At 36.5% G+C, this 13,241-nt stretch overlaps 1 protein-coding gene across 11 annotated transcripts in view, besides 2 other annotated features; it reads right to left on the reverse strand.

Moving 5' to 3' along the window:
* The window catches only part of IGSF11 (immunoglobulin superfamily member 11), a 245,464-nt gene that overhangs the window by 113,313 nt on the left and 118,910 nt on the right, over positions 1 to 13,241 (reverse strand). The window lies entirely within an intron of this gene.
* Positions 11,380 to 11,580: a silencer, noted in NCBI's record as "peak4780 fragment used in MPRA reporter construct". NCBI's record gives its function as "represses an SCP1 promoter by STARR-seq MPRAs in K562 erythroleukemia cells {active_cell/tissue: K562}" and the evidence as "EXISTENCE:reporter gene assay evidence [ECO:0000049][PMID:32103011]".
* Positions 11,620 to 11,820: a silencer, noted in NCBI's record as "peak4781 fragment used in MPRA reporter construct". NCBI's record gives its function as "represses an SCP1 promoter by STARR-seq MPRAs in K562 erythroleukemia cells {active_cell/tissue: K562}" and the evidence as "EXISTENCE:reporter gene assay evidence [ECO:0000049][PMID:32103011]".

Below are 13,241 nucleotides of genomic sequence, written 5' to 3' on the forward strand. Positions count from 1 at the left end.
AATCTTGAGTAATAAGATTAAACACTACTTTTGGTTTCAGATACGATATACATCTCAAAGTTTAAAACAATATTAATCTATATGTGAAAAGAGGCTTGACACTACTTTTACAGAAAGAAAAGCAGCAACATAAAACAAATCTAAAGGGGATGAAATAACAGAAACCCAGCAGTGGAAGCTGAGCTTCATCTAAGTCAGCAGATGACATCTATTTGCACTCGTTAGCACTGCCTGGCATGTGCTACACCACCCCCTCGGGTAATTTACATTTTTTTAAAGCATGTATTTCTAAATTTAGGAAGTTAGGATAATCAGGGTGGAAAAGCCCATCTGTTTGACGTTCACTCCAGCTGCTGCAGATTCTGAAATGAAATTTGAGTATTTTCTTCTGTTACATCTTACCCAGTCTGGAATACAATGGCATGACAGAGGCATAAAAAGGTAGCTACAGGCAATGTATCCAATACATATTTTACTCTATCACACAACATCCCCATTGTACCTAAACAACCCTGCCACAATTACACAAGCACATATACTATTTATACATAGTGCATAAATATATCTGTGTACATTCATGGGACATACACATTTTTCTTGTGTAGTATTTTATTGAGATGGAAAGACAGAGACAGAAAGGCCCCAAGAAGAGATGATTTTTGACCCTAAAGAAGTTAAAATTAGTTTGAATAAGACAGAAAAAGTAACTGAAATATTGCTTAGTTTTATTATTTCACTCATGTTATTGGAAGGAGCATCAACATGGATTCTGGCCTAAACTTTGCCACTTACATGCTGTGTGGTTTTAAAAAGATCACTTTACCTCTCTAGATTTTTTTATTAAATGACATGCAAGGATAGAAGCAGGAGGAAAGAGTTGAGTATAGAGGAGAACCCAGAAGACTGAAAGTATCTTCCAGATCTACAATTCCAGGGCTGTATGACAGCTACATAAAATTTCACAAGGAAGCCACTGTAAGCGGAAGAAATCTTCACCTTCTGGCTTGGAATTATCAACATTAAACCTTCAGAAGCAAATCAGTAAATACCTATACACCTTTTTATGTATCTAAAAAGTGTATGAGTCATATACAGTATGCTAAATGTCTTTTTAGCAGTACTAAAACAACTTGGAAGTATTTTTAAAATAAACAGTTCAAACAGAACAATTTTACTTTTCTGAAGTATACAAATAAGAGACAGACATTATCTAGGATGATGTTTATTACTGCAAACAAACATCACATGTAATTGTTGATAAAGCCCCCAAAACGGAAGTATAAAACTATCTCCGGAAATAAGCATTTGCTGGGTCCACACATCTTTCCTAAATACCTTCCCTCTGTAAGGCACTGTGGTATAGGAAACATTGGCCAATGATTGTTTCAGACAAAATTATTAAAGTTTCGTTACTGCTCTTAGCATTTATTTAGAAATGAAAACAATGCTTGTGCAAGATCTACCTTATTTAACGCAATTAACTGCAGGGGTGTCAGAGACAGAGACCCTCCAACCCACTACAACCCTGTCACTTCACTAAGGAATCCGTTATAAACCTGGAGGACACGAACTAAACTGAAAGGTTATAAAAGCTTTAAAAGGTATATTTACCACGACTTAAGGACACCTAAGTACCTAACATAATATTTTTTCTGTATCATGCTATTCTTCACATGCCTCTATTTTAGAGGTAAGTAAACATTTTAAGAGGCAGGAACTTGAGAAAAAACAATTTAGTACTATCTCATTTTTTGCTGCCTTAGATGTTGTTACAAATGTCTTTAGTCTATTTTTGCCTCTGCTATATCTTCAGTACCTAGAACATAGCCTAACACAAAGCAGGCACTAGATAAATATTTACCAAATATGAATAAATGCTAAAAAAAAAAAAACTGTTTTATAATGTTAAGAGCTGGGGGAAAGGAAAAGTTAGAAACTCCTATTCACTAAGCACCTGGTGCCTGACGTCCATCACTTCATCTAGTCTAGCCACTTGGTGCGGGTAGGCATTACCTGTCCCACTTTCCATGAGAGAAAAACGATTCAAAGGTTAAACAATACTCTGACCAACCAGAAGAAAACATGAACCATCTAGTCTAACCACTGAATGGGGGTGCAGGTGCAAAACTCATCTGAAAGAGTGAGGGAGGACATAAAGAGAAAGCCAGTCTGAGTAGACCAGGCAGAAAGGCTGAGCTAGGAAGGTTAGGGATTGAGTAAGAGGCAGCATGGGAAAAGAACAGCCACAAACACAAAGGTGTAACTGGCTGGGCCAGAGCCAGGAAGGAGGCACAAAGGGTGTCACACTGGGCTGTGGGGCACAGAAAAGAAGGGAGAGAGGTGTGGCAGCCCCCAGGAGCGAGGCTGTAAGGGTCCTGGGAGCTGGGAAGCTGGGGAAGCCAGGTGGCATATGGCATGTGTTCAAAGGTTCTCAAAGTAAAAACTGCCCAGAAATATGTCGATTCCAGCAAATAACAGCATGAACATGAATGACAAAGATGATGGTCATTTATGGTAATTTATTATTCATGCTGTCATTCCTAATTCTTTTAAAAAAAATCTTTAGAAATCTAAGAGGAAAAGCCAATTTTCACCAGAAGGAAGAGAACATTGTAAATATAGGATTATTGACTATGCAAGAAAATATTTAGAATGCTGAAGCAAATAGTTCAATGTGTACAGATTATATGCATAACAGAGCTTCAAATGAGTTACCATAGCTACCAAAGGATAATTAATTTTGAGGAAACAAAAGAAAAGACATATCATTAGGGGCAGTTTTCAAAGAGCTGAAATGATAAACGTGGCATCCAAATTTAACCCACGTTACTTCCTAACAGGAACTAGCAACGCTCCTTTCCACACGACTATTTCTAACATTATCTCCCACCCTCCTCCCTCCCCAGTCTTGTGTACCAGGCCACCTCTGTGCTAGTCTAAATCCCACTCAGATCCTGCAAGACTCACTTATAGTTCCTACCTGTTCCATAAAGTGTCTGACTCTGGTTGTACTTCTAACCTGACAATACAATTATCATGTATTGTTTATGAAATAAACATGTATTAAGCACTGGCTAAGAAAGGAAGAAGATTAAACAAATAGATAAGTACATAAATTACAGTAAACAGATATGGGCTAAAGCATGAGCAAAGTTAAATGGACGCAGGACAAAAAAAAAAAAAAAAAAGCCAACTATGGGGCCAACTTCACTTGGGAGGTGATATCCAAGCTGGGTACTAAAGCATAAGCATTATTTTCCAAGCCCAGAAAAAAGAAGAGTAAGCGAAATTGGAAGGTGAAATACAGTCACGTTTCACTTAATGACAGGGATACCTTCTGAGAAATGTATCATTGGTGATTTCATCATTGTGTGAACATCATTGAGTGTACTTACACAAAACTAGATGGTATACAGCCTACTACACATCTGAACTATATGGTGGAGCATCTACACTACAAACCTGTAGAGCATATCACTGTACTGAATAGAGTAGGCAATTATAACATGATGGTAAATATGTGTATCTAAACATATTTAACACAGAAAAGGTACAGAGAATATACGGTGTTATAATCTTATAGGACCACAGTCATTGTATGTGTGGTCCATTGTTAACCAAAACATCATCATGCAGCTCCCAACTGTAACTGTATTTTCCTCTTCTCTGTTTCTTAAACCAGGAAGATGAGTTTTGGAAACCAAAGGAATTGAGCCATGTGATCTTATTTAATCTTTCTGATCATTTTTCTTGTTTATAAAATGAAAACAATGCCAGGTTGTGGTAAAAATTAATTATATGATGCACACTGAAAGACTAGTTAGGCATTCAAAATTTTTTTTTCCCTTTTCTCCTCTAAAATTATAAACTCAGTGGAGGCAAGAACTGAGTTTTTTGTTTGTTTTACTTTTTTTTTTTTTTTTTTTTTTTGAGACAGAGTTTCACTCTTGTTGCCCAGGCTGGAGTGCAATGGTGTGATCTCGGCTCACTGCAACCTCTGCCTCCTGGGTTCAGGCGGTTCTCCTGCCTCAGCCTCCCTAGTACCTGGGATTACAGGTATGCGCCACCATGCCCAACTAATTTTGTATTTTTAGTAGAGATGGGGTTTCTCCATGTTGGTAAGAACTGAGTTTTATACCTCTTTCCTATCACCTACACTGTCTAACCCAAGAGTCGAGCACAATTTCTTATTGACTGGTAATCTCTAAAACAGGATTTTTAATAATTCCCCTTTGAATTTGATAACACATTTATTTGATACAAATTAAAATTGTAAACTCTCATAGCTAGTGCTTTATTACTCAATAGGCACACCAAACAAATAAATAAGGCATCAGCAAGGCAGAGATAGAGGTAAATGAGTGAGAAAGAGAGAGAAGTCCTCTTGAGGATAAAAAACTCAGAACTGTGTTACCTGCTCACCTATACTTTACAGTTTACTGTTTGGAGCTTCATAGTGCTTAAGTTTCTAATGTTTAGGGTTCTAAAGGTCTGTTATAAGATTTGCTCATAACTCCTATAAATGTTTCCCAAATTCTCTAGTTAGGCCCTAGAATGCAGACAAAATCACCACAAAGGTAAATACAGCTTATAAGAGAAAATGTAATCCACTTACTGATCACTTAAGCCTGACACAGTATTAGGCACTTTATTATTTTTACATGTTACATATTATGTTTACCTATTATCTTACTTAATATTCCAGGCTCTTAACTATAGGTACTGGAATTCATTCTGCTCTACAACTGAAACATCTATTTCTTCACTTGGAAATAGGACTAATACTCATCTATCTCACGGGCTTAATGATTAATGAATAAACATACATAAAATGTCTAGGCAATACATGGCACATGGTGGTTACCCAATAATGACAGCTATGCCCTTAATGAAAATTTGACATCCAGACTGGACACTTGTGACACTAAAAGAAGAAATGTGTGAGACTCAGAGAGGCATGCAGAAGTGCTGGCAGCAGCAGAACTGAAGCTCATCAGAGCTGGCACTGAAGGCTGGATGACTTGGCTTGCCATCCTTTGGCACATGTGCCCAGAAACTATTCAACTCCAGTGTTCCAAGCTGTTTAACCACATTCAGTTTACTGTGAGCACCTCAGTATCAGAAAAAGCCTGCCAAATCCAAGTATTTTTAAAAAGCACTTCAAGTGATGAAGCGAATAAAGAGGGTTTTCTTAAAAGAAAGTATCATTTATTGAGATTCAATAAACCATTGCAGTGCAGTTCTTGCAACTGCTTATATATTTGCTGCCCTGTTGGTATATCAGCTTAAGTTAAAAACTAGGACAGAGGTCAAAATTGGTGCATCTGGCCAGATAAGGATCCTTGATTCTGTGGGATTAGCCATACATCCACAGCAAATTTTATCAAAAGGACAGCAATAAGTACATTTACATTCCTTTGTTAATAAATAGGCATATGCAAAGAAACAGAGTCTATTTTCTCTCAAACTGATCTTATCTTACCACTTCTCACTCACACACACCCCCAACTCACTCCCATACTAGATGGGTGGCAGGGGTCAGGAAGATGATTAGATTGGACTGAATTTAGTTATTTCAGGCAGATCCAAGAATTTGCACAGCCTAAGAAACCTCTAGATTTCTCTTTTCAACAGCTCAGAGAAACTCTTGGTCTTTCAGATTTCTTTCCCCTTGTCCTGCTTTACTTCAAGACAGTATCTTCCTGCATGAAGGAGAGAGTGCTCAAATTACCCCCAGCCAGAGAAGGAAAGAGTTGCCCCTATAGCCACACCAAGTTCTCTGGTTTCTTTACCTGCCTCTGCTGGAGAATATCTTGACAGACTAGGCCAGACTGGTAACCAGTAAAATATAAATGCTCCTCCGTGAGGGTATTCTTTCCATTGTTGCTGTTATTGAACAGGAACAGTGGTGGGTGTGTGCAGGTTCCCACCCCTGTACTGTGACCCTGGCCATTTGTCTCTGATTGCTATAGACTGAATGTTTGTATACCCCACAAAATTCCTATGTTGAAACCTGAAACCCAAAGTGGTGATATCTGAAGGCAGAGTCTTTGGGAGATGATTAGGTCGTGATGGTGGAGCTCTCACAAATGAGATTTATGCCATTATAAAAGAAGCCCCAGGGAGCTCTTTGCCCCTTCCACCATGTGAGGACACCACAAGAAGATAGCTGTTCATATGCCAGGAAGCAAGCTCTTGCTAGACACTAAATCTGCAGGCTTAGACTCCCCAGCCTCTAAAACTGTGAGAAATAAATTTCTGTTGTTTATAAGCCACCTAGTCTATTGTATTGTGTTACTACGGCCCAAACAGAGGAAGATGCTGATCTTGAAATCCCTGCACAGACCTCTACATTATAACATAGGCCTCTATCAATCCCCTCACAAGGACACACAGACACTACTAGGTCTCTCATACACTTCAGGAAGTCCTGAGTAACCAGGAGCACTGCCTCAGACTCCACCTGTTTTCTGCCACTGCCTCGATGTCATCACTCTTACACACTCATGCACAGCTGCACAGCATACAGACTCCAAAGAACCACACTCCAAAGAACACATACTACCAGGGAAAATCAAATGGCTTGGTGAGAACAAGAATGAGAATTGAGCAGGAAATAACACTTCACTCACTCCACGAATGTAACACATTACACCATAATGAGCTAAGTTATGTTTGTCTTTTAGAGCAAATCATGTTAGTTTAGTCTAAACTTGAAGACTGGATCATACACATTTGTCATCCTTCTATCCTCAGACGCCTGAAGCATAATAAACCCTCAGTTGTTCCTTTTCTCCTTACAAACTATTGAATACATAAGAATCAAATGTGCCATGCCTCACTGGCTGGGATAAATACCAGGCAGGCAATACACAAGTTTATTAACTATCTGGCTATATCTTCCTCCACATGACATTTTAACTATGATATATCTATACTTCTGCTTCCCCACACAATCCTGACAGTAAGTATTCCACAATTACTTATTTTCTGATTCACATACATCTCCAAACTGTAACTACAGTTATAATTCCAACTGTAGTTATGTAAGTATAAAGTTACTTAAGACCAGATATCATATTGAACATCTCTTTATAACTCACAGTGGTGTATATAGCATAGGTTCTCAACAGTTTGTTAGAAAATGAAATAACATATTTTTAAAAGTTGACGAGACACTCTCCCTAGGGAAAAGAAAAATATCAAGGCATATGACACTGAATTTGGAATAAAATTTCTGTGACCTCCCAAAAACCATCTTTTGGCCACAGGTTAAAATCCCTTATACAATACAAATGTAGGCAGTGGTTATACGATGCAAAGGATTCAACAATGTAAAAAGTCATTTAAAACTAAAATGATTATTTTAAAACAAATTACTATATAATAGAAAAATTAGTATCATGAGATTAAAAAACTTAACCTCAACTCCAGATGATGAAGATTATGTTAATGAAGTAAAAGGATATGACAGTGATAAAGATGATGGTGACAACAGAGGAAGAGGAAAAAGACAACAAAAGGAGGAAAAAATAATGCTTATATAGCATTCATATATAGAATTCTGTTTGGGACCATATGTGTCTTTTGGGAGATGAGTCTTCATGACTTATTTATTAATAAGAGTTTATTGATCACTCACCATATGTAGGCACTGTACTAGACTCTATAGGTAAAACAAAGTGTAAGACCATAACAAAGTGTAAGACCACATCTTATCTACCTAAAAAGGCTAAAAATAAATAAGCCAGCCATCACAAAAAAATAAATTTTTGTCCTTACCCCCGACTCTCATTGCACACAAGACAATGAATTCTAGATGGGCTGTAGGTTGAAATATGAAAGGTAAAACAGTATAGCTTACAGAAGATACCAGGAAATATCTTTATGACATTGAGAAAGGCAAAAAATTTATAGTCAAGACACAAAAAATGCTAGTAAAAGAGAAAAAAATTGCTTAAATGAATCAATTAAGAACTTCTGTTCTTTAAAAGACATCAAAGTGAGAAAGTAAAAAAGCAAGTCATAGAGTAAGAGATTTTACAACACATATAAACAATAATGTGCCAGTACTTCCACAAACATGTTTTTTAAACCCACTGAAACCAAGGGAGTGGGAGGGGACATGGACTCCTTAATTTTAAAAACTGGCAAGAAGCCCAAGTATCCGTCAACAGAGGAGCATATAAAATGTGGTATACTCATACAATGAAAAATTATTCAGCAATAAAAAGAAATGAAGTTCTGGTATATGCTACAACATGAATGAACCTTGAAAAAACATTATGCTAAGTGAAATAAGCCAGACACAAAGGATAAATTTTGTATAATTCTACTTATATGAGGTATCTGGAATAGGTAAATTTATAGAGATAAGAAGTAGATTAGAGGTTACCAGGGGTTAAGTGGAAACGGGGAGGTATTGCCTAATAGTTATAGATTTTGTTTAGGGTAATGTAAAAGTGTTGGAAATAGCGGTGATAGCTGCACAACACTGTGAATGTACTTAATGCCACCAAATCATATACTTAAAATGGTTAAAATGGTAAATGTTATGTTATATATATTTTACCACAATTTTTAAAATAATGTAAAATACCAAAAATGATTGGACTGTATACTTTAAACGGGTGAACCATATGGTTTGTGAATTATATCTCAATAAAGTTGTTTTAAGAACTGGCAAATGACTTGAATAGAAAATTTGTAAAAGACAATACCTAAATGCTAGTAAAAAGGGGAAAAGGTGCGTAACCTCATTAGTAATCAGGGAAGTACAAAACACCTACATACATACACACACAGACACAATGAGATGCCATTATGCACCTATCAGAATGGCTGAAGTAATAAAATAGATTGACAATACCTAGTGTTCACTGACAAGGATGTAAAGGAAATGAAACTCTCATACACTGCTAGTGGGAGAAAGATCAGCACAGCCACTTCAGAAAATGGGCCATACCTACTAAAGTTAAATATATGCAATTTGTTTCATAGGGATATACCCAACAGAAATGCATTCTGATATGCATCAAAAGACACACACAAGAACATTTGCAGCAGCATTATTCATTGTAGGCCAAAACTAGAAAAAAAAAAATGTCTTTGGCTGAGCACGGTGGCTCATGCCTGTAACCCCCGCACTTTGGGAGGTTGAGGCAGGAGGATCACCTGATGTCAGGAGTATGAGACCAGCCTGGCCAACATGGCGAAACCCTGTCTCTACTAAAAATACATAAATCAGCCAGGCGTTGTGGCTGATGCCTGTAATCCCAGCTACTCGGAAGGCTGAGGCAAGGAGAATTGCTTGAATCTGGGAGGCGGAGGTTGCAGTGAGCCAAGATCGCACCACTGCACTCCAGCCTGGGCGACAGAGCGAGACTCCGTCTCAAAAAAAAAAAAAAAAAAAAAAAAAAAAAAAATGTGGTGAGGAAAGAAAGGATAGTAAGAAGATCACGAAGATGAAATAACTCCAAAAATTCAATGCTTTTCAAGATGTTAAAAAAAATAACTATTTTTGCCTACAAATGGACTATGGGATCATGCACTTTTACAGCATAGTGCTGCTACAATTGACATAGTTCCTAAAGTCTGGACAATATCAGAAGCCTGAACCAGATACAAAATCAGCCTGCCAGAGATTTAAAAACACATATGCACATGTACGCACCCCCCACACCCAGTTTACACATATGTAAACTGCCACATATAAAATTAGATACATCTAAGTGCATTTGTCTAATTAACATACATGAAGTAGAAGAAAAAGTAAAGTTTTGTGAAGTTTAACCTAAACATGAACATGAATTAGTTCACTTGCCACAGTTGGGATAAATACAATGAAAAGGACTAGGAGAATGGACTTCACTACTCTCCACTCAAGTCGAAGAAAAAGCTAACATGCCGACCCCCACTATGTCAAGAGAATCTGAGCTGAGAACTCAAAAGGAAGTGCTGAAGACTGCAAATTATTTTTGTGTTCATGGTCTTCATCATCATCAGTTTATAGAATATTTGTTAGACACTGAAGGAGTAAGCAGATTTGATTTATTTTAATGCAGGCAGATGGCTTGGTCATGGAAATTGTGAAGAGATTTACCGAGCAGCTTCATCAGATCAAGGACATTATGGAATTAAAGGGCTCTAAGAGACCTTACTTGTCCAGCTCCCTGTAGCTCACAACATTATACTTTCTTATTAATGAGAAAGATAACTCCCTAAATTCAAAATAACTGTGGTGGGAGTAAGGGGTTGGGAGGATAAGAGCACAATTAATTTGTTCAAAGAAATGCAAATGTTAAGACCGAGAATGAATACACATATTAATCAACAAGCAACTAAAACTTGTCCTGTTCTGAGGACAACGAAATCACAAATTAGAAAGCATCAAAAGTCACAATTTCAGAAAATATTCTCACGAAAATGAATCATGTTTAAATTTCTTTTACTATTAATATGTTGGAATACAAAATTCAAGAACCATCTCTTATCGGTAGGTTGTTTCAGGAAAAATTTAATGACCTGAAAACAGATTCTACTTACCAAGATAAAATACTAGGCAGTGAGTTTATGAATCTCAGAATTATTTAAGTTTTGTCAATGTAACTAATTCTATCCATTTTAGAGACCACCTGGCTTTGTGCAAAAACAACCTCTCTCTTGAAAATGCAAAAAAAGAACAGCTAGGCAACACTATTGATGATATAATCAACGATATAAAATCAAAATTAAGATGTGCCCTAACCATACTCCTCCATAGCTTTCAGTTTAAGTATCACTATATCCCTGCCTAAAACTTGCTTTTTTTTTAAGCTCACAAGCTTGTCCCTTTTAATCAATAATAACACTAGTAAAATGTCTATATTTATCACATAACCTAGTATAGTTAAAATTTAGACAACTATGCTTGGCTTAGACAAAGAAAGCTCATTATCAGAGAAAAGCAGAGAAAGATCATAAAAATCAAGTTAAAGGATTAGAATACAGTGATTGAGGTAAAAAGAAGATATTGTCATACTTACAGCCTGCTTTGAACTGACCCCTTCCTGACACATACAAGATTTGTCCGTGATACAAAGGATTGAAGAGAAAAAATAGGTATGTACACAGCCTAAGTCAAAGTAAGTAGCAATCAATTTTAAAATAAATTTTAAAAATAAGACTATATTCGAATGACATTTTGTAATCTTTCTACAACAGATGGAGATAGTTTTAATTCTGAGGATAGAAATTACTATAACATTTTATTATATTGGGAGGGGGAGAGAGAGAGGAAAGTCAAGTAACTATTTTAGGAAAAGTTTTACAAACATGTTAAAACCAGCCACATAATTTCTCCACTTTATCTTACTACGAATATTTTCAATACTGGAAACCATGTCAAAGAATCACAAGATTATAGAACTGGAAAAGAACAAGAGATTACCTAGTCTAATTCCCTCATTTTGCAAATGAAAGCAGGCCTGGAGAATTACATGATATGCCCTAGGCCACAGCTCCAGTGGCACACCCTAAATAGACTCATCTCCTGACTTAAAAATTGGGACTGATCAATCCTTGTAACAGTAACTGCCACTAACTGAGCACTTGCTGTATGTCAGGCACTATGCTAGACACTTTACAGATAACAGTTTTCATTTAATTTAGTACTTCTCAACACAGTAAGAAGGCCATCTCCATTTCACAAGAAAAACTCAAGCTCAGGACATTAAATAACATTCTCAAAGTCATAGGACAAAGAAATGATGAGTCATAATTTAAAGCCAGTATGTTTGACTATACAAAGCCCATGAACTCTGACATGGGCTTTGTATAGTCAGACATACTGGGTTTGAATTACGACAATGCTTTTTTTCTCTCCCCGGATGTTAAATGTGTACATCCAAACAATTGCACTTTGGGCAAGCTAGACCACAGAAATATCTATACAAATGTATAGGGTATATGTACAAAGATGATCACTAAAACATTATGAATATCAAAAAATCAGAGAAAACACAAATGTGCATAATGGAGAAACAGCTAAAAATTATGGCATACTTGCTATGAAATACTAAACTTCCATTAAAAAGAATGAGGTAGATCCATGTAACAGATGTGGTAAGATGCCTATATTAGGCTGGGCATGGTGGCTCATGCCTGTAATCCCAGCACTTTGGGAGGCCGAGGTGGGCGGATCACAAGGTCAGGAGTTCGAGACCAGCCTGACCAACATGGTGAAACCCCGTCTCTACTAAAAATACAAAAATTCTTCTTAAAAATCTTCTTAAATACTTCTTCATTGAGTTTTTACCCTAGAATATGTTACTTTTAGATGTTTTTAAATTATAATACAAAATAAAGAATTTCAAATGAGTTCATTTTTTATTTTAAAATAACACATGTATATTCCATTTAATGCCACCCCATATAGCACAGATTTATTGTCTGGCTAGTTGTCTCTACAGCAATTTCAAAAAAAAGAGAATCTAACATTCTATTACGGATACCAGCATTTCAAGTACAGTCCATGGACTGATGCAGATTCCCAAGACCCTTTCGGAAAGTCTATGTAGTAAAAACTACTTTTCTTACTAACAGTAGAGTTTTATGCCTTTTTCCCTGGGTTAACATGTGCATTGATGGTACAAAAGCAGTAGTGGGTGAAACTGTTGGCACCTTAACACAGGTCAAGGCTTTGACATTAAGACTGTACTAGTAGTCACTGTAGTCTTCGCCATTATGTAGTCACAGTTAAAAAAAAAATCCAGTTTCATTAAAGAATGTCTTTGATGAAGCAATAACAATAATTTCATTAAATCTTGACCTTTTGTAATATTCTGTGTGACAAAATGGGTAGTATAAAACCACTTATGCTGCATACTGAAGCAAAATGGTCATCCCAAAGTAAGGCATTGGTGCAATTATTTGAGCTCAAGGCTGAAGGAACTAATCACTTTCCTTCATATCTACTTGAATGAACAACTCACAGACTATGGTTATTCAAACTTATATATTTAGCAGACATTTTCTCAAAACTGTACAAAATGAGATCATCACTTCAAGTGAAATAACTGACAGTCATTTGCGGCCAATGATAAAATTCAAGCAATATCAAAATTTTGGAAAACTTGTATCTGACATTGTGAGCTTAGCAGCTTCATAATACTTAAAAGACTGTTCTGATCATCTCAGTGGTCATATTGATAAACATAATTTTTAAATTTATATAATGTAATACAGTAACATTTGTAAGATCT

The sequence above is a fragment of the Homo sapiens genome, chromosome 3 (genome assembly GCF_000001405.40).
Source record: "Homo sapiens chromosome 3, GRCh38.p14 Primary Assembly".
NCBI lineage: Eukaryota > Metazoa > Chordata > Mammalia > Primates > Hominidae > Homo > Homo sapiens.